At 41.7% G+C, this 20,407-nt stretch overlaps 1 protein-coding gene across 4 annotated transcripts in view; it reads right to left on the reverse strand.

The window, feature by feature from the left end:
* ZNF704 (zinc finger protein 704) overlaps positions 1-20,407 on the reverse strand; it is a 255,969-nt gene that overhangs the window by 44,351 nt on the left and 191,211 nt on the right. For all 4 annotated transcript variants that reach the window (XR_928797.3, XM_017013725.2, NM_001033723.3 and 1 more), the window contains exons 3-4: positions 20,203-20,306; positions 14,425-14,657 (exon numbers count right to left, since the gene is read on the reverse strand). Coding sequence is in view for 3 of the 4 variants with exons in the window: in XM_017013725.2 (XP_016869214.1) it covers positions 14,425-14,657; positions 20,203-20,306 (337 nt within the window). In the remaining variant the exon portion in view is untranslated. The remainder of the gene's footprint in view (positions 1-14,424; positions 14,658-20,202; positions 20,307-20,407) is intronic.

Below are 20,407 nucleotides of genomic sequence, written 5' to 3' on the forward strand. Positions count from 1 at the left end.
TATTGGGTACTATGTTCACTACCTGGGTGATAGGCTCAATTGTATCCCAAACCCCAGCATCACGCAATATACCCATGTAACGAACCTGCATAGGTACCCTGAATCTAAAATAAAAGTTGAACTTAAAAAAAAAAAATTTTGTAATACGGCAATATGCATACTCTCTAATTAACGTAGTAAATAACAATACCTTGAAGTGGGCCTAATGCCTACCATAATTTTAAAGTAGTGTTATGAATAAATGATATTTCATGATATCTACTAAAATTGTAATGTGATATGAAACATCTATGATTTTGATGGGTATTAAAGTCACAGGTGGTGCTAACATTATTATGGCTTCATGCCTTAAATCATAATTACAGGAAATGTTAAATTATGGTTAAGAGGTTGGTGAAAATAAAGATACACTTTTTCCCCCATGCAGGTTCACCGACTTCCTGGATTCTGTGTATCCATTTGGGGATCTGTGGATTCCAGGTTAAGAAGGTCTGCACTAGAAGGAAGAAGCCTGGATCCCCAGAGGGCTGTTTGGAGCGAAGACATCCACCCTCTTCGGAACCTCCACTGACCTGACTGGATTGTGACATGAGAATAAACAAACGTTTATTGTGTTAAGCTACTGACATGTGAGAAAAATGGGTTGTTCCAATAGTAAGCCCACCCTGACCAACACATACAGCAGTGGTGGCATCTTTCCCAAACTGATGGAACTGATGTAGCTTGATTTATGTGCCTGCTAGAATATCTGCCATCAAGTACTTCTGGTTCACACCATCATACTCTTGAGTCTATGAAGCAATCATTCACATATTTAGAAGACGACTCATCAGCTATTACTGATGGAATCAGTATCCAGATGATTTATCTGGACAGCCACCCCATGCTGAAGATTTTCCATAGGTTTCTGAATTGAAAATGGTACTTGGGAGCTTCCAGAATTGAAGAGTGCTCATGTGTTGGTGAATGGTTGCCTTAAGCATGGCAAGCAGAGGACAAATGTGGCAGCACATTGCAGCAGTCTGCTAGAGCAGATTACCAACCACGGAAGGAGCCCACTGTTCACATGGGCTTCGTGAGCCCAGGGCCCACTGTGCCCCAGAGGCTCTGCCTGGGTGGCCAGCATTCACAGCACAGCAATCTTGCTGTTTCTTCTGCAGCTCCTGGGCACACACACCCAGCTCCATGATGTTCTACCTGCAGTGTGCAGTGCTGGGCGTAGGACCCAGAGCTACATGAGTTACAGCTGAAGCTCTTTGAGGGACGTGAAAATGCGGAGAAGCAAAGACACAATTAGGAGACTTTAAGTACATGATCCTTATGAGCCTGTATTTATTCCAAGGAGACGGTTCACAAATTTCAGCCTTCCTGACCTCCTTGGGCCAGTGATCTAAACACATGAAATGTAAGATGCGCCAGATGGGGCGATTTAAATCCCACCTTCAAACCTGCTAGGTTCACAAAAAGGAATTCTGCAGAATTCAAAATACTATTTTATTCAAAGCATATAACTTAACAATACTGTCTTAGTCCATTTTGCATTGCCATAAAAGAATACCTGATGCTGGGTATAAAGAAAAGAGGTTTATTTAGGTAGTGGTTCTGCAGGCTGCATATGAAGCATGGCGCCAGCACCTGCTCAGGTTCTGGTGAGGGTTTTTGTGTTGAGTTAAATCATAGTGGAGGTCAAAGGTGATGCAGGAATATGCCAAGAGGGATCTAACCCAAGGGGTGTTCTGGCTTTACAACAACCCACTCTCCAGGGAACTAATCCATTCTCTCAAAAACCAATCCAGTCTCATGAGAGTGAGACTCTCATGCCATGTGAGAATGGCACCACGCCATTCAAGAGGGATGCACCCCAATGACCCAAACACCTCCCACTAGGCCCCACCTCCCAACACCCCTATGCTGGGGATCAAATTCCAACATGAGATTTTGGTGGAGGTAAATGAACCATATCAAACTATGGCAAACATTAATGAACAAGTCCTCACACTACAAATGCTTCCTGCCCATTTTTCAAATGATGAAGCTATATTGTAGAAAATATCTTCCACTTAAGAGAACCAATGACTCAAGCAAAAATACACGTACCCAACAGTCCAAGTATCTGTCTGGAAATGAAGTCATGATAGATGAAAACACTTTTTGATTCATTCCTAACCTTTTTGCTGATGGCATTCTTTCATTCATTAAACCAAATATCTATTTAGCAAGGAATATTCTACGTTCTGGGGATAGAGAACAAAAAAAGAAATGAGGCTTCTTTCAAGGAAGTGAAATTCTAGTAGGGGAGAGACATAAATTATAATACATGATGACCATTTCAGATATAGCATGAGGCCTGTAGAAGGTGACTATTGAGCTGGGACCTGAAAGTTGGAGAAGGAGCCAGCCAAGCTAAGAGCTAGAGTTTTCCAGGCATAGCGAAGAGTTAAAAGCAGAGGCCTGAAGATGAGAAAGACCTTGCCTCTTGGAGGCCAGAAAGAATGACGGTGTGTTTAGAATGAAATGTGGGAGGGAGTGATTTGTTTGAGATAAAGTGCAGAAGCAGGGTCAGATCATGTGGGACTTTGCAGACAAAGGTAAGGAATTTGGATTTTCTTCTAAAATAAAAGAGAAGTTACTGAAGGAAGAGAGTGACACTGTATGACTTAAGTTTTGTTTTGTTTTTTTTTTTAATATTACTCTGTTTTGGGATAGAAAACAAATGTAATCACCAGCATGGAGTCAGTGCATGAAGTCACTGCAGGTGAGAAGAGATGGTGGCTTAGAGGCTTTGGGCAGAGAGGATGGAGAAAAATAGACACATTCAAGACATAGTTTGGAGGCAGATCCAATAATACTTGCTGTTGGGTTGACTATGAGGAATGATAAGAGGGATGGTGTTAAAGATGACTTCCATGTTTTAGGTTTGAATGACTGGGTGAGTTGTGGGTGAGTTTTGGATATGTTAATTTTGAGATGCCTATTATGTATCAAAAGGAGATTGCACGCAGGACACTGGATATGTGAACCTGGAATCAGGGAGAGTCAGGGATAGAGATATAAATTTGGGGTCAGGAGATGGAGCACTGAAAGCTTGGGTGTGGATGAGCCCATCTAGGGAAAAATGCAGTTAGAGATGATTAGGGTGCACTGCAGCATCCAATATTTTATGTTGGAGATTGAGAAGGAGCAGTAAGAGAGAGAAGTGGTCAGCAGATCATGATATTAAAAGCACAAATAGAAGAAAGTGTCTTAGGAAGGAAGATGTGACCAACTGTGTTGAACAAGGACTGGGAATGTTCCTTGGATTTGGCATATGGAGGATGCTGGTGGCCCAAATAGCAGTAAATCTCGTAGAGTGTTGTGGATGGAAATCAGATTGGTAATAGACTGGAGAGTAAGTGGGATTTAGGAAAACAGAGAGAGTAAGTGCCAATGTTTTCAAGAAATTTTGCTGACCTATGAGCAGTCAAGGGAGGGTTTGTAAAGATAAGTTATACTAAGGTGCGTTTCTATGCTGATGGGAGTGACTGCAAAGACAGGGAAACTGATGGTGCAGTAGAGAAGCAGGGGTTAGCTACAGGATGAGGTTCTTCAGAAGGTCAGGAGAGCAGCGCCAATACACACAGCACAGGGAGAGGGGCTGCCTTGGATGAGACAGGACAGTTCTCTGCTGGAAAAAGGAGGGAAACCAGATGGTGGCTGCAGATGCAGTTAATTTGCTAATTTGGTGGAGAAGGGAAAAAAAGGAATTCCTGTATGACTGTTTCTAATTTTTCAATGAGGCAGGAAGTGGGGTCAGAACTGATGACAAAGAGGGAAGGTTGTGTATGAAGTTTGAGGATACTTGAGAAGGATAAAATACTTGCCTTACAGCAGCAGTCCCCAACCTTTTTGGCACCAGGACCGGTTTCATGGAAGGCAATTTTTCCAGGGACTGTGGCGCAGGTTGGGAGAGGATGGCACAGGTCGGGATGAAACTGTTCCATCAGGCATTAGTTAAGATTCTCATAAGGAGCGCGCAATCTGGTTCACAATAGGGTTCATGCTCCTATGAGAATCTAATGCGGCTGTTGACCTGCAGGAGGCGGAGCACAGGCGGTAATGCTCGCTTGCCTCCTGCTGTGTGGCGGGGTTCCTAACCGGCTGTGTGCGGACTGATAACCAGCCCGAGGCCCGGGAGTTGGGGACCCCCGCCTTAGAGAGTGGGAAAGGAATGGGCAAAGCATAAGATACTATTTCCATATTTCTGATATTCATGATGGGAAACAAGACTCCAGAAAGTTACAAGACTTACCCAGTGTCATCTGATGGCTCTTACCAATGAGTCAGTCAGATGTAGGCTTTCATACTGAATATAATAGTAATTATTGTACGACATATAAAGCCAAATTCCTCCTACATCATGGGACTTTTTTAAGGCCTCAAATTGCTGATTGTTTTAGGATATGATAATCACAGTGGTATTTTTGTGCCATAACAAGTACTATTTACAAGATTACTGTTCGTCCTTGCAATAATATGTCAAGCATTTGTTTTTTAAATTGACAAGTAGTTAAGGTTGGTCCTGATTACAGAAAAATAAATATCATTGGTTTAACTTCTTTCCATAATTTTCATTTGTTACTTCAGGTAGATGATACATTTTGGAGGCATCAAACCCCCAGAATCCAAGGAAGCTGACCATTATCCTCTGTCAAGTCACTTGGAATTAGGATAACTACCAACAGCAATTGTTTATCTCCTCCTCACACATACACACACCTTCCTTGAACCCCTGCTAAAGGTTCCAAAGAAATCTGTTACCCAAAGAAAATTAGGTAATGATATTAAGAAACATGATGAACTTTGTCTCCTCTTTCCTTTTTTCCTTTTGCTGGGTTTTCAAGAGGCACTTTGGGGATAGACTATATTCTATCCCAGTGCCTCACAGTGTCTGGCTCAATAAATATTTGTTATGTTCAATCTCAGAAAGGTTGTGTTTTGGGACCTCAGAGATGAGCCACATTTGGGATATCTTAATTTGTTTAAATAGCACTTTGTAAAATTTACTTAGTGAATCATCTGTGTTCAAAGAATGTTTGTCAAAAAGATTTGTTCTGTAGAATTTAATGTTTCTCAGTATGATTAACACTTGCTTATCCTACCTGGCTGTAAATTAACTTCTCAGGGGACATCCATGGTGATGCCCTGCATTGTGAGGATTGAATTATAAGATGGTTTTCTCTTCACTTTATATCGTACATTTCTCTTCCAATCTTGCATACCCTACACTGGTAGCTACCTGAGGAAAGTCTGAGTTCACCACCAGACAATGGAAAATCTGCTGTAGGAAAAATTACTAATTTATAATGACTCAGGTCATTAGCAAAAGTGATTAGAAAACAATGTTGCATCCTAGAGATATAGAAAGTTGCTGTGGATTTGCAAGGCAGTTGCAAATGTGGACTCAGAAACATAATTACATATAGTGGGAAGACTGTCAACTGTTTTGGAGGAGGGGGCAATCGCAAAACAAAGTTCTGCTTTCTCCTCGACCTCTTCCTTTTGCATTCCTCTTCCTTTTGACATTCCTTTTGAATATCTCATCTCACATTTATTATCCCATTTTAGTCCAGACTGTCAGAGCTCTACCTTCATAGTTTACACATGCACAGATAGGGGCCATCTTTAAATTTGAGGGCAATACAGGTTAAGGCAATAAGAGCTTAAGAAACACCTATAACTTTGAGCCAATTCAATTTGTAGGAATCTTTCCAAAGACAGTAATTCAAAATATTTGCAAAGACATATGTATATTCATTCATCACACAGATTTTTACACTAGATAAAAATAAGAAACAACCTCAAGGTTGACAACAGGGGATTGGTTAAATTATGCCATATGACTGTATATTAAACCTTAAACATGAAGTTGTAAGAAAAGCTTCTTTGATGTGAAAAGTTACATATCTATTAAGGGACTTGATGACCTGTCGTATTTGACCTGTCAGGTCTACACCATGCCTTTTCTGCACCATGCTCAGGGTCCCAGGAGGCTGCATTAACAGGGCTTCTGGTTCATAGATCTCTGGTTGGATTTGGCTAATGAGAGGCACCGGCAGGCAGCTGGGAGGCAGGAGAGATTGGAAAGCAGGAAGGTATTGATTCCTCCTGGCTCTCTCCTTCTGCCTGGCCACAGGTGGGCAGTGGCTACATCTCTCCTCCAAAAGTTACCCTATCTGTTGGGTAACCTCTCCAACAGCTATATTTCCAGAGTTCTGGTAACCTTCTGGATTGTAGAAATTCCTCCCTTGTAGAGCCTCTTAAGGCTCTACGGGTTAGGGTTAATAATGGCCTTCCAAGGTTGTTAGCCCCTGGAGTCCTGCACCACCCCCTACTGATTTCCCCTAACCCTGTCTACACCTTTGTAAAGTGATTTGTCTCTACATAGGCCAAAGACATTCTTGCAGCAAAGCATGAGGCTCTTTAAATGGTAGTTCAGTACTTTTCAAAGTCCCCTAACTATATCCAGTTGAAACAAATCCTTTGTCTACAAACAGACTAGTTGCTGTTACACTAAAGAAAAGCAAGCCATGGGAGGAGGAGAACATGAAAAAATAGCTAAATAAACAACGCCCAGATTGCTGCATGGGTCCAAGCCTGCCCAAGAAAGCCAAACCAAGCAAAGCTTCTGGCAGAGTTGCGGCAGCCAAATCTGAATGGTCCCATCTGTGCTTCTACCCTAGCTTCTCCTCGCAGAGCTAACAGATGTTTGCAAAGCTGGAATGTCCACCATCTCATGGATAACAGCTGAAAATTCACACCAGTGGAAAGCACTTCTGCAGAACACCAACGTCAGCAAAGACCTCAAGTCTAACAGAATGGTCTTCTTCATGTAAAGCAAAGGGAACAGAGGGAGGCCACCATTGATTGGGAACCACTCTGTGCCTGGTCCTGTGCTAGCAGCTTCCACGTGTACTTTATTTAACACCCGCAACAGGCCCAGGAGGAGCTGAAGCTCCACGCAGTCGTGAGCAGACTCCTGGAATCTCACATATGCCTGATGTGAGATGCATAGCAGCTTCCAGACAAACTCTTTAGAATTTCTCAACATTGATGCTGTGGGCCACAATGGTTGGAGAGAACTTCCCAGAGATTTTCGCCTTTGCAGCAGCTTCTGAACTGTCTCTAGAACTTCCTTGGGTCTATTGGCTGAGACCTTTGGCCAAGGTGTCCCTGATTTTCTCTCTGCTTGCCCTACCAATAGTAAGCCTCAATCCTGTTTCTAAAAAATGGTTTCATACTTGGAATATACGAAGTAGCTTCTATTTTCTTGACAGAACCCAGAGTGATACTTAGGATTGATATAGTGACTGCTGAAGGTCACCTTCAGTTCCAAGAGTGGAAACATGGCTGGAATTTGAAGAATTATGTAACATTTTTGAAGTGCTTCAAAGTATTGTATAACATGCATATGACGTGTAAGTCCAACTAAAGCTATATTCTAGAAAGCACATGAACGTCACTTTATCAGTCAGCAGCCTGGAGTTAACGTCATGTTCTGAGGTGACTAAAAGGATCTTCAGGTATTTTTTTTTTTTTTGTATTGTGACTTGTGTGTGTGGTTTTGGAATGGCAGGGCAGGGACAGGGGCTTACACATCCAAGCCTCTCCAGAGAGGACCAGGGACCTTGACGGACAGAGAGGGCCAAGTTATTCTGTGCAGGTGAGTTGGCTGCATTATACAAACTTCCTCTGCCTGTCTCATGAAAACCCACACACCTTGGCAGCGGCTCCAATGGCTCTTTCAGGGTCAAGAGGTCCACACAGATCCCCAGCAGGTGCCAAAAGATCAGTAAATGCGCTCGTGTATTTAAAAATTAGTAACTTCCTAGAAGCTGGTAGGGGTTCCAGAAGCAGCTATGTTACCTCATGCTACCTCACGGTTACACAGTATACATGTTGCCTTACCTTTTGGGGGCTTTATTTATTTATTTGTAAGATGAGGGGACTGAATGAGAGTAGAGATTTTGGATCTTCAAGGTGTGTGGGGTTAATACAAAGTAACAGGTGAATTCAATGTATACCAAGCACGGATGAAACACCTCCCACCTCCATGTGCTGTTTATAGATGCTGTGGTGATACGTGTATACAAAATTAACAAAACAGTTCTGTAAATGGAATAACCCAGAATGTATTCTTTTGTGCCTGGCTTTTTTTCCCCCTCTGCATAATGTTTTTTTTGATTCACTCACTGTTTCTTGTATCAGTAGTTTGCTCCCTTTTATGTGGTGAAGTATCCCATTGTATGGTTATAATGCAATTTGTTTATCCAGGTACCTGTTGATGGGCATTTGGGTTGTTTCCAGTTTGGGGTGATAATGAATAAAGCTGCTATAAACATTTGTCTGCAAGTTTTTTTGTGGACATGTGTTTTCTTATCTCTTAGGTAAATACATACCTAAGAGTGGAATTGCTGGGTCATATGGTAAGTGTATATTTAACTTTCTAAGAAACTGCCAAACTGTTTTACAAAGTGGTTGTACCATTTTACATTTCTACCGGCAATAAATGAGAGTTCCTGTTGCCAACATTTGGTATTTTGTATACTAAAAATACACACTGTATAATTCCATTTACTTGAAATTCTACAACAGGCAGCATTAATCTATAGTGATGAAAGTTATACCAGTGGTTGGTTGCCTGTCTGGGGCTTGGTGGTGCCTTTGACTGAAGCGGCGTATGAGGAGTGCTGGCCTTGGTTAGAGTGGTGGTTACTCAGGTAGAGACAGTCAAAACTCACTAAATGGTATACTTAAAATGGGTTCATTTTATTCTGTGAAAATTATACCTAATAAAGTTGATTTTAAATGATTTCTATAACAGCAACACCAAACAACAAAACGATTTCTGAATTAACAGAAATCCCTAGTCATTCTGTGCTTCCTCAATCAATGAATTCTAAAAGTGCATCTCATCTTTGGGGACGTCTGGACATTTCTAGACATACTGAGTAGTCCTTTAACTTGGAAAGATTGAGACTGGGCTAGAAGATTTCCAAAGTCCTTCGAACTCCAATGTCCCAGAGCCTATATACTGCATGGCAGGTTATTCTAAGATCTTGTCACTAAGTTACCTAGATATCACTCCTCTTTATCCTGAATTTTCTCTATGAGGCCAATCAGCTCCCTGCCCTGGCTGACAATGCTGTATGTACCATCACCATGAAATCCATGCAGTTGATCCAAGCTGCTGTTCTTAGCATCGCCCTCCCCAGCAGTTTTAACAGATGGATCTATTTCTGGAACAGCCGTTCTTTTTGCAAGAGGCACTCTCTGCTCAAAATTAGTGGGTTAGGAATTAAGTCAGCAGAGAGACTGGCAACATGCTTATTCGTGAGGGTTTTACGGGTTTGTTTTCTTCTTGGAGCAGCCATTCACAATTTAAAGTGATTCATAGCTTTTTGGCTCTGGAAGATTAAAAATACAGAGTGGAGCAAATGATTAATTGTTTGCTACTGTACAACTATTACTGAAGCACCTTATGTTAACTCAGTGCTTTCTTCTCTAACTTGAGGTTCTTCCTAGTACACAGGTACAACTGTTCATGGTTAAGACACATACCTGTGAAATAAATGGAAATGATGAAGGCTGAAATTTAGAAATTGCCTCTGAGATGCTGCCAATGTTCTGAAATGCAGAGTCCTGAGTCAGATTTCCTTTTATGCCCCCAATTTCTGCTACTGTCCTTGCTGCACTCACCCAGTGCATTGCAGGGGGGCTAATGCACACCCAATTGAGCACAGGGTGGCTGAGGGATCTGGAGTTATCCTGAGCCACTGTGGCATTGGCACGGTCAGTGTGGGTCAGGGTGGAGGGTGGAGGCAAGCACCCCCTTCTCTCCACACCTATGCTTCTCAAATTCCCCATTCAGGCAGTTGCCAAACGGCGGTGGGGGAGGGGGGAGGAGGAAAGGCAAAGTATTAGCAGCTAACATTTATTGCTCTTTACAGGGCCTCTCGTATATTCCTGACAACAGCCACATCAATATGGTGCCACCATTTTCCTTATTTTACAGATGAGGAAACTGATGCTGAAGAGGCCAAGTGACTTGCTTAAGTCATGTAAGTCCTAAAGCTGGCATGACAATTTTGGAATGCACAGAATCCAGAATCTGACAGAATCAGGGATCTGGCATGGAAAGGGCACACAAATCATTTCTGATCAGCGCTTCTTGACTTTCTTGGGGTCTTGTGGAATTGATGGTTAACTCTTTGGCCTTCCATAGAATTCATTTTCTCCCACGAACTCCCCGAATGGCTGTATTTAGGGTCACTGCATCACCTTGTGGTCATGACGGAAATTGCACCTCCCCAAAGTCAAGAGTCCTGGCTCACACAACCTGGTTTTTCTCTGAGCTTGGAAGTTCTGCCAGTCTGTCTTGAAATCCCAGAGGAAAAATTCTGCTAGACCTGGGCTTGACAAAGTTGGCTGGCTGACCTCCAGAGCTAGGATAGAGAAGCCTTTCATTTCCCTTCTCACACTCTCACCTACCTTGGCTGCAGGTTCCTTATGGGTGACGGATACTTCATGTGGGAAGTAAGCTCTCCGGCAGACAGCCTGGAGTTCCTATCTCTGCTCTCCATTTCTTTCTGAACTTTCTGCACCCTTGCTCCCACCCTGCCACATAGCTGTAGCTATGTCTGATTATTTTCTCTCCACGTTTTTCTCCTCTGTGGGCTGAAGGAAATATGGATTCACTGAATTAACTTGGCCTCAAACGTTTCCTCTGCTATTTAAGTTAAACTGATCTCTGCCACATTATAAGCTACACAACCTTGGACAGTTAACATAACCTCAATGAGCCTCTTGGCACAATGGGGATAAGAATACACCAAAGATTTGGGGGATGATGAAATGAAATGCTACATTTAAAAGCATTTGGTAAACTGTAACTAAATAAGCAAATATAGTGATTATCAGCAAATATTTCCTCCTCACTACTGATAGTAAGAGAGAATGCCTTGTCTATGCAGTGTATCACACACTGTCATCTTCTTTACATAAGTGGAACATGGATCTCCACAAGAGGTGGGAGTGAGCCATCTCTGTGTGGGGGGAGGTGGGAGAAGAGATAAGGAAGCTTCCATAATAATGACAAAGGTCAGGATCATTGCTTCATAGTCAGATATAGGCAATGCTCCCTCCCCTTTTGTTTAGAGTCCTCAAATGTCTATTAAAATGTTGCCACATTCCAGCACTTAAGACCACATTTAATCTTCATAACTATCCTGAGAGGGGCATGTTAATACCTGTTTGCCTGTTTTACAGATGAAGAAGTTGATGATCAGAGAGGTGAAATGATATTCTTAGGTTCTCAGGGTAGCAGAGTTAAGAATGTGAATCTTTTGATTTCCAATCAGGACATCTTAATTTACCACAAATTGTATTATCTCTTTATAACAAAGAACAGAAGCTTCCAAACTTTTTTGCTCATGAGCCACAATAAGAAATACATTTTGCACAGCACATACACATATGTATACACTGAAACAAAATTGTCAAGAAACAATACTTATCCTTATTATGTACAGTGTATTCTATTCTGTTTTATTGATTAAAGAGTGACTCATTAAATTGATTCACAACCCTCTGGTGGATTGAGACGTGCAGTTGGAAAAAACTGATCTAGAAGGTTCTCAAACAATACCCACAGAACAAGTGACTATCACAATGGGTTTTAAATGGGTACTATGAAACTGAGGGAAAGGAGAGGAAAATAAGATGAACTCAGAAAGTTCTACCAACTAGACAGAACATATTGTCTGGTTTAAGCAAATTAACTCTTAGAAATCTTTTGAAACATGATTTTTTAAATCTCTAAAATAACTGTATTACAGTTACTGTGTTCTGTCACATCACGAACACAGCATTTACCACTTGTAATTATTGCCTTTTTACACATCAATTTCCAGCCACCCAACTTTTGACACCTTGAAGGAAAAAACTATGCATTATTCTCAGGGCAATAAGCATTTTGCCTGATACGTGCTCAATAAATATTGGTTCACCTAATAAATTTAAAAAAGAATAGCATCAGCCTCACCTTCTTGTTATTTTCACTGTTCAAAGTAACTTTAAATTCAAAAGGCCAAGGTAACAACTTGGTCTGTGTAAAATCCATGCATTAAACATTAGTGGCTACAATCAGCATCCTATTCGTCTCGGCTTGGGGACATCTAAAGTCTGAATAGAGGGAGAAGTCATAAAGAAAGAAGGATAAACACTATTCTTATTTGTTCATTCCTTCCCACTATCCAGCTTCTTCTGGAGTGGGCCTGTGCTCATCCAATAAAAATAAATATATATAATAAAAAAATAAAAAAATAAAAAATGTAAAAAAGGAAGCTTTTTTCCTTTTCCTTTGGTGACTTTACCTTAATTTAGTTAAAGCCTGTAGACCTTCCATATGAGGCTAACAAGTGCAGTCTAATTGTGATGGAAGAGTGTGAATTTTGGCTCAGTGGCTACATCAGAAATGGAAGGGTATGACAGGCTTTCATTAATGTGCCTTAAATAACATTGGGGTTCCCTGTACTGTGAGTCCTTGTCACAACCCTGGGCCGTGAGTCCTTGTCACAACCCTGGGCCATGCCTATTGAGTGTTCGAACTACACACTCAGAAAACCCCAGGGAGACAGTCTGTGAAGCTCAAAGTAACAGGAAAAGACTTCAGGTCCCTACCACTGTCCTGCCTGCAGGTACCCACTGATACAAGTGCCAGCCTCTCTCCCCTACTGGTCAAGTGAAGACCCAGTGTCCCTGGGGACCCACAGGGTGCCAGAACAACTTCAGCCCCTTTGCATGACAGACTGGTGTGAAACAGCAACTCTTCAGGCCACTGCCTCTGGGAAGGTCAGGGGACTACAGTAATATCCTCTTTTCTGGACAAAAATGTCAGCCTTTTTCACATGTACACACTCAGAGAGAGTGCCCATATCACCTCCACTGTTACACATGTGGAATGATGCTGAGAGATGCAGGGAGGGAAGGCATTGTTGGATCAATGCCATCTCTTTGTTTTCCTCTTTGAAATGAATTGGGGGAGGAAAAAAGTTTGCACTGCAGTCCTCAGGGCTTTGTATTGGATTTTTGTTTGTGAACAGCCATTCATAATGAAGCTACCAATACAACATTTAAAAACCAATACATATAACAACAGTTTTACATTTATGTGGTGATTTTAAAAATAATGCCAAATGTCTTCAGATTTAGTGGTAGTATAGTGGTAGTTTTCCTTTATTCTGTGAAATGGAAATGTTTTCGAAAAATTATGAGTGAACATAACTGAAATGTACCTAAAGAGAATGAAAAGAATATGAACTTGAGGCTCAGGCAGATCTGGGTTTGAATGGTGGCTCTGTCCCTTTCTAACCTGCCTGACAGGGGCCAGTTAAATGTACAATCAATCTCTCTGATCCTCAGTTTCCTCATAACAAGATGGAAATGCAAAACTTACCATATAGGACTGCTGGGAGGATTAAACAAATGTGTAATCAATTAATTTGCTAAATCAATTAATTAGATGTCTTTTTTTTCTTCTACTCCTTTTTGTTTTGTTTAAAGCAGCAGGGTCTCACTCTGTTGCCCAGACTGGAGTGCAGTGGCCAGATCATAGCTCACTGCAGTCTTGAACTCTTGGACTAAAGCGATCCTCCCACCTCAGCCTCCTGAGTAGATGAGACTACAGGTGCATGCCACTACACTGAGCTAATTTTTTTTTTATTTAATTTTTTTTTGTAGAGACAGGGTCTTGCTATGTTGCACAGGCTGGTCTCCAACTCCTGGTCTCAAGCAATCTTCCTGCCTCTGTCTCCCAAAGCAGTGGGACTACAGGTGTGAGCCACTGTGCCTGGCCCTTTTTCACTTTTTATTTAGTTAATATATAATCTCTAGGATGTAAGAATGGAAGTTTGTTTATATCTCAGCTTTTATGTATATTTCACAGATGACTGCATAAAAATGAGATACAAAATATTCTTCCCAATAACCCTTCAGGGCTGATTGAGAAAAGAGAAAAATATATTAATTATATTTTACATATGAAAAAAATAAGTCCCACGAAGAGAGCGAGTTCATACCGAAGCAAGCCTGAGGTCCAATTTTCTAACTTACAAATACTGGTAAGTCCCAGGTCAGCAATTTATAACCAGAGGATGGATGGGATACGTGTGTATATACCTTCAGGAAACTTACCAGTATTTGTCATTTTTAAATTATCACCATAACAATTTCTATTCAAACTTCAAGAACATTAAAGAGGAACGTAAGCTGCTTCTTTCCACAGAAAGGGGGTGTAGGTCCAAGGTTAAGCTCACACCGGCCCTTCAGAGGGGACAGAAAGCACCTTCAGGAAACTGAATGCAGAAGACCGCGTGGCTGACCACCAACCTTTCTTTTCCTGGGAATGGGCTCGTCGAAGAGCAGGTTGCTGGCCTCCGCCTCGTCGATGCCGTCGTCTGGCTGCGCGGGGCTGCGGAAGGGCTTGAAGCTGTCAGCCGAGAGCGGCGGCGACGGCGTGGACGGGTTGGACTGGTCGCTGGGGGCGCTCCAGCTCCAGTAGCCGCTGCTGCTGGTGCTGGAAGGCACGCAGCCGCCCTCCTTCCAGGATCCGCTGAGGCTCTCTGCATGCACACAAACACAGTCAGTGCCAGGACCCCTGCGTGCCCGGGCATGGTTCAGTGGGGAAATGGGAGCCTTGGTTCTACACCAGTGAAACCACCCCAGCCCTCTCAATCATCTGCAACAGCTGGGTATGTAAGTTTTTGTTCTATTTATACGCCCCCTCCCAAAAGCCACATTGTAGTTTATAAACATTTAATTATTTTAACCTCATGATAATAGGTTTTTCTAAGAGTTTTCTGATGTGTTTTTGTATTGTGCAACACAAATTCCTTGGGATCATAGTGGGGATTATATGAAAAAAAAGATTTTCTTGTTCACTAAGTTTGGGGAGCTCTGGGTTTATCGACTACAGTATTTCTAAGAAAGAAATATCATTTGCAGTATTCTCCTGAATGGTTTGGTCACAGAGTTCCCTCTCACCCCAACCCCTCCGATTTCAACATTTTTTTAAAAAGGGATTTCTTAGCTGAGGGCAGTGGCTCACTTCTCTTATCCTAGCATTTTGAGAGGCTGAGGTAGGAGGATCGCTTGAGGCCAGGAATTCGAGGCCAGCCTGGGTTACATAGTGAGACCCTGTCTGTACAGAAAAAATGAAATGATTAGCCCGGCGTGGTGGCATGCACCTATAGTCCCAGCTACTCTGGAGGCTGAGGAGGGAGGATTACTTGAGCCCAGGGGTTTGAGGCTGCAGTGAGCTATGACTGGGTCACTGCACTCTAGCCTGGGTGAAAGAGCGAGATCCTGTTTCAGAAAAAAAGTTGGGGGGTGGGGGGTTCTTATAGGACTGTTATTCTTAGAATACATTTATAGGAAGTTAGTCTAACACTTAAGAATCTAAGAGAAATAATTTCTGGATAGTTATCTAAAGCCCCTTTCCATTCTGCTTATTACAACAAATAGTAATGCCTTACATTTTGTGAGTGTTTTACATTTTACAAAGCTTATTCGCACAGTCTCAAGCATTCTCACAACATCTGTCCTTCAGAATAAGGATTATTATCCCAGTTTTATAGATGAGGACCCTGAGGCAGCAGGAAGCAAAGTGACTTGCTACATGACTGGTAAGTATCCCTCATGGGCCCAGGCCACCAGGAAGAGGTTGGACCTATTTCTTCAGTGCATGCAGTCCCTGGGCTGTAAACAACCTCCATTCTCTCTGGCAAAGCTGGGATAGGATAAGAATTTATTGGCAATAATTACTCTAAGATTGCTATTGGCTATTACCTTCCCATTTGTGGTGGAAAGCATTATGAAATGTTTGCTAATGTGGAGAGATTTCTGCCCAGTTAGAATGTCTTCTGCCAGCCTGGCCTATATGGCGAAACCCCGTCTCTACTAAAAATACAAAAATTAGCTGGACATGGTGGTGCGTGCCTGTAATCCCAGCTACTGGGGGAGCTGAGGCAGGAGGATCACTTGAACTTGGGAGGCGGAGGTTGCAGTGAGCTGACATGGTGCCACTGCACTCCAGCCTGGGCAACAGAGTGAGACTCTGTCTCAAAAAAAAAAAAAAAAAAAAAAGTCTTCTGGGTGCTCTTTTAATCACTGAAGATTTGCTTTACCTTTCAAGATGCACGACCTTAATTAGCATTTATATAAATTTTACTTTTTTTTGGATAATTTCTCCTCCATATTTATGTGCATTTTGAATATATTAAAACTATGTTCTAACTACGAGGAAAAAACATCCCCAAATGCCTCATTAAAAAAATACTGTTAATGTCTGTGTAATTAGTAATGGAGTGAAGACAAATGGTAGATTATCATTCATGGGGAGATTTCATAACTACCTTTACCTATTTATGGATTTCTACCATATTCCTCAACTATGTCAAGCAAAAAGTTAAGTTAGAGGAGTGAAGCTTTAAGTTGAAATAGGAGAAACTACCCATCTCATTACAGCTAGGTTCTTTTAGAATGAAATGGTCATTTATGCAGTCTCATGCTTTGCCAGCATCAACAAAACCAAACTAGCATCTCACTCCCTGCAGTCTACACAGAGACTGATACGCTCACCAGACTAGATTTGCCTATTGTAAATAAGAAAGCTCCATTTAGTACAACAGGAGTTCAAGAAGAGCATAATATAAGGCTTGATGATTTTACTTAGTGTGAAAAACTCCCTTGGCAGGCCCGGGTGGCTTACAAATATACTGTAGTATGCATTTGTAAAATAAAATAAAGCTAATGGTGCTAGATGTATAATCATGTTAAGTATGAGGCACTGAATTTATTTTGAAAACCAACTATTATTACAGTGTGGTTACATGGCTTCATGTCAATGCCAAAAGTGAATTTGCTTACTGATTTGTGAATGACATTTCCTTTAGAAAGACTATTTAGTCAGAAGGACTATAAGTGATATAGAAATGATTTTTCTCAGAAAAAAAGTCAGGTCTGATTTATAATATTCTTAGGGGACAGAGCCTCCTTATATTAAACCTCTGTTTGTCAAGAATGGAGACAGGCACTGCTGGACTCTCACCCTCTTTGCAGACTCACTTCCTGATAGAATGATCCTTTTTAGGCACAGAAAATGATCACAACAGTTTCCAAAAACTCATTGATGTGCAATAATTCTAGAGAAAATCTTTTTTTCCTAAAAAAAAAAAAAGCCTTCATTATAATAAATTGCTTCCCCTATTTAAGAATTTGCTTTTTCTTACAGACTAAATGAGAGACAGCAGACAATTTGGGGTTATTAGTTGAGTAGTTAGTTTTTAAACCATAAATGAGCACTGAATTACTTTATTACTGTGCTAACGAAAGTTTGCATTGAAGAGCCAAAAGGTTTATTTTAATTCTGACCTTTAAGTACAAAGGAACACTAAAAATGTTCTCAATTAAAAAATGAAGCCAATGGTAAAAATAATGATTACTTTAAAATACACTTTTCTTTTTCCTCGAAGGATTCCATGAAATTCTACAATTCCTTTTCCCTAGAATATGTCTTGGGGGTTTTCCAGGGTTTTAAAATTTTTTATTTTTTAGAGTTGGAGTCTTGCTCTGTCACTCAGGCTGAAGTGCAGTGGCACCATAAGCTCAATGCAACCCCAAAATCCTAGGCCGGGACTACAGGCGTGTTACCATACCTGACTATAGTTTTGCCTTTACTATAATCCTTCTTTAGCACTGCCAAAGTGAGAAAGGTAAATCAGAGTACCCATTTGCCAGAGACCCCCCAGAAGAGCAGTCAGGTCACTGAATGGGAGTAGTCAGGCCCATTTCAAGAGCAACTTTTCTACTGCTATATAAAGAGGAGGTGTCGGCTAGGTATGGTGGCTCCCACCTGTAATCCCAACACTTTGGGAGGCCAAGGCAGGCGGATCACCTGATGTCAGGAGTTCGGGACCAGCCTGACCAACATGGTGAAACCCTGTCTCTACTAAAAATACAAAAATTACCTGGGTGTGGTGGCACATGCCAGTAATCTCAGCTACTTGGGAGACTGAGGCATGAGAATCACTTGAACCCAGGAGGCGGCAGTTGCAGTGAGCCAAGATAGTGCCACTGCACTCCAGCCTGGGTGACAGAGCGAGACTCCATCTCAAATTAAAAAAAAAAAAAAAGAGGAAGTGTTATCCCAGCTTGATGAATCATGATGTTGTTGGGCAATACTGATTCATGACATTAATTTGAATTCCTAGCATCTTAATCATTCTTTCCCTCTTATAATGAGGTTGGAGTAAGTTTTGGTAAGGCCTCAATGTATGTTCAACAAATTTATTTTAACACCTCATGCTTAAAACCAAATTGTGTGTGAACCATATCTTAATCTCATCATTGACCATGCTGGTTTTTGAGAGAAGGTTTTCATTGATCCTAAGTCTCATTCAGTGGTCTCAGTGCATTACATTTCAGTGAACTGCAATCTGCAACTGGCTTTCTCCCTTGGGGAGTGCTCTTGACAAAGCCACCAGTGACCACCTTCTTGATGGAAAACTCAGTCTTTTTAATGCGTGACCTTCTGAAGCATCAGACACTTCTCCTTAAAACATGCTTTTCCCTTGGTTTCCATGAAACCACACTCTCCTGGTCTTCCTCTACCTCTCTGGTCACCTCAGGGTCTTCCTCGGCTCTTTTCCCACTGCCAATCCCTTGCATGATGGTGAGCTTCACTGCTTCCTTCCTCGGCCATCTTCTCTTCTCACTCTGCTTTTACATAACTCTCTCATGATGATCTCATCTACTCTCATGGCTTCCAAATGTTGCCTTCTAATTCTGTACCTTCAGCCCAGATCTCTCTCCCAAGATGTGCCCAAATCTCTACCAGATGTTGCCCCTTGAATGATCCTCAGGCACTGCCTATTAAACATGTTTCCTATTGTCTTCTTCAGCAACTTCAGCTCTTGAACCAAACATTTGCCAATACATCTCTTCCTGTGCGTCTGTCACCTGCCCCAGTGAATGTCCTCCCCTTGCTGAAGCACACCAACTGCCTGGAAGTCATCCTTGACACACCCTCCTGCTCACTCTCTCTGTCCAGCACCAAACTCTTGATTCTGCATTCTTCACATTTCTCGATTATGTCGTATCTACCTGCACTGTGACCACCAAGATCTTTTTTTTTCCTTTGGCTGATAAACCTAATCATAACTTTGCAGTGCTAGAATCACTTTAATAGTGCTCCCATAGCCTCAGCATAAAGTCCAAACTCCTAGCCAGGCATAAATGACCCCTCCTGATAGGTCTCCCAGTCTCTCCAACTTCACCTCCTACTGCCTGACCTCCTTATTTATTGTATTGGATTATATGAGACAAAATCATATCATGATTAAGAGAATAAATCTGGAATCAAAAAGATATGGAGAATTTCAGTTCTGCCAGTTAATCTCTGTGAGCCTTAGTTTACTCATCTGTAAAATAGTGATAATAATACCTCATAGAATTGTTGTGGGAATTACAGGCGATAAGGCAAGCATAGTATTTGTTTACTGACACATAGTAATGCTTAATAAATGCTAGCCACTAATATGGCTATGATTGATGGTCTTTCTTCCCCAAAGAGATAGTATACTACCTGGGAGTGTGGATACTTTTTCAATGAGGTATTCAATTCATCTAGCATGGTACCTGATAAATGTGTGTGGAATAAATGAATGACCTAAATAATTCTATTTGATTAAGGAGTCTGAGAAAATGTTTTTAAAAATTATTTAATCTGAGAGTTCTTTGATCCAACTGCCTCCCCAGTCAAACAGAAATAATGCTAGGGAAAATAATTCATTAGCTCAATCTTCATTTACCTGGGAAAAAAGGGACACAAGTACTGCAAAGACGTCCTGGCAAGGCAGAAAACAAAGGAGCTCAATAAAAGTGAGTTGAATGGAGGGATGGGTGAATGAGAAGCAGTGGGCTCCCTGGGAAGATGAAGAGGGGGCTGACAGCTCTGGGGGCCTCGACTTCTTCCACGTTTCTCTTTGCTTCCTGCTAATGGGTGAGGGTCAGTGGTTCATAGCGCTTGACAGGAATGAGACATCTCAAAGAAAGGCCCTGCTCTTGGTGTCAAGGGGCCCTTCCCTAAGTCCCATATCCTGGGCTTACCGTTCGGCCGCACGGGAGGACTTCGAACCAAAGGGCTAGTCGACAAGCTGGTTAGTACCATTGCTGCTGTCACCTTGTCCATGTCTAGTTCCTCTGAAGATTTCCTGTAAAACAGGAAGGGACACTGGTGACTGTTCACTCTGCATCTGCTGTGGGCCACACAAGGTGTGACACGCTGTCACGCATTTACTCCATTAACTTATCC

The sequence above is a fragment of the Homo sapiens genome, chromosome 8, assembly GCF_000001405.40.
Source record: "Homo sapiens chromosome 8, GRCh38.p14 Primary Assembly".
Lineage (NCBI taxonomy): Eukaryota > Metazoa > Chordata > Mammalia > Primates > Hominidae > Homo > Homo sapiens.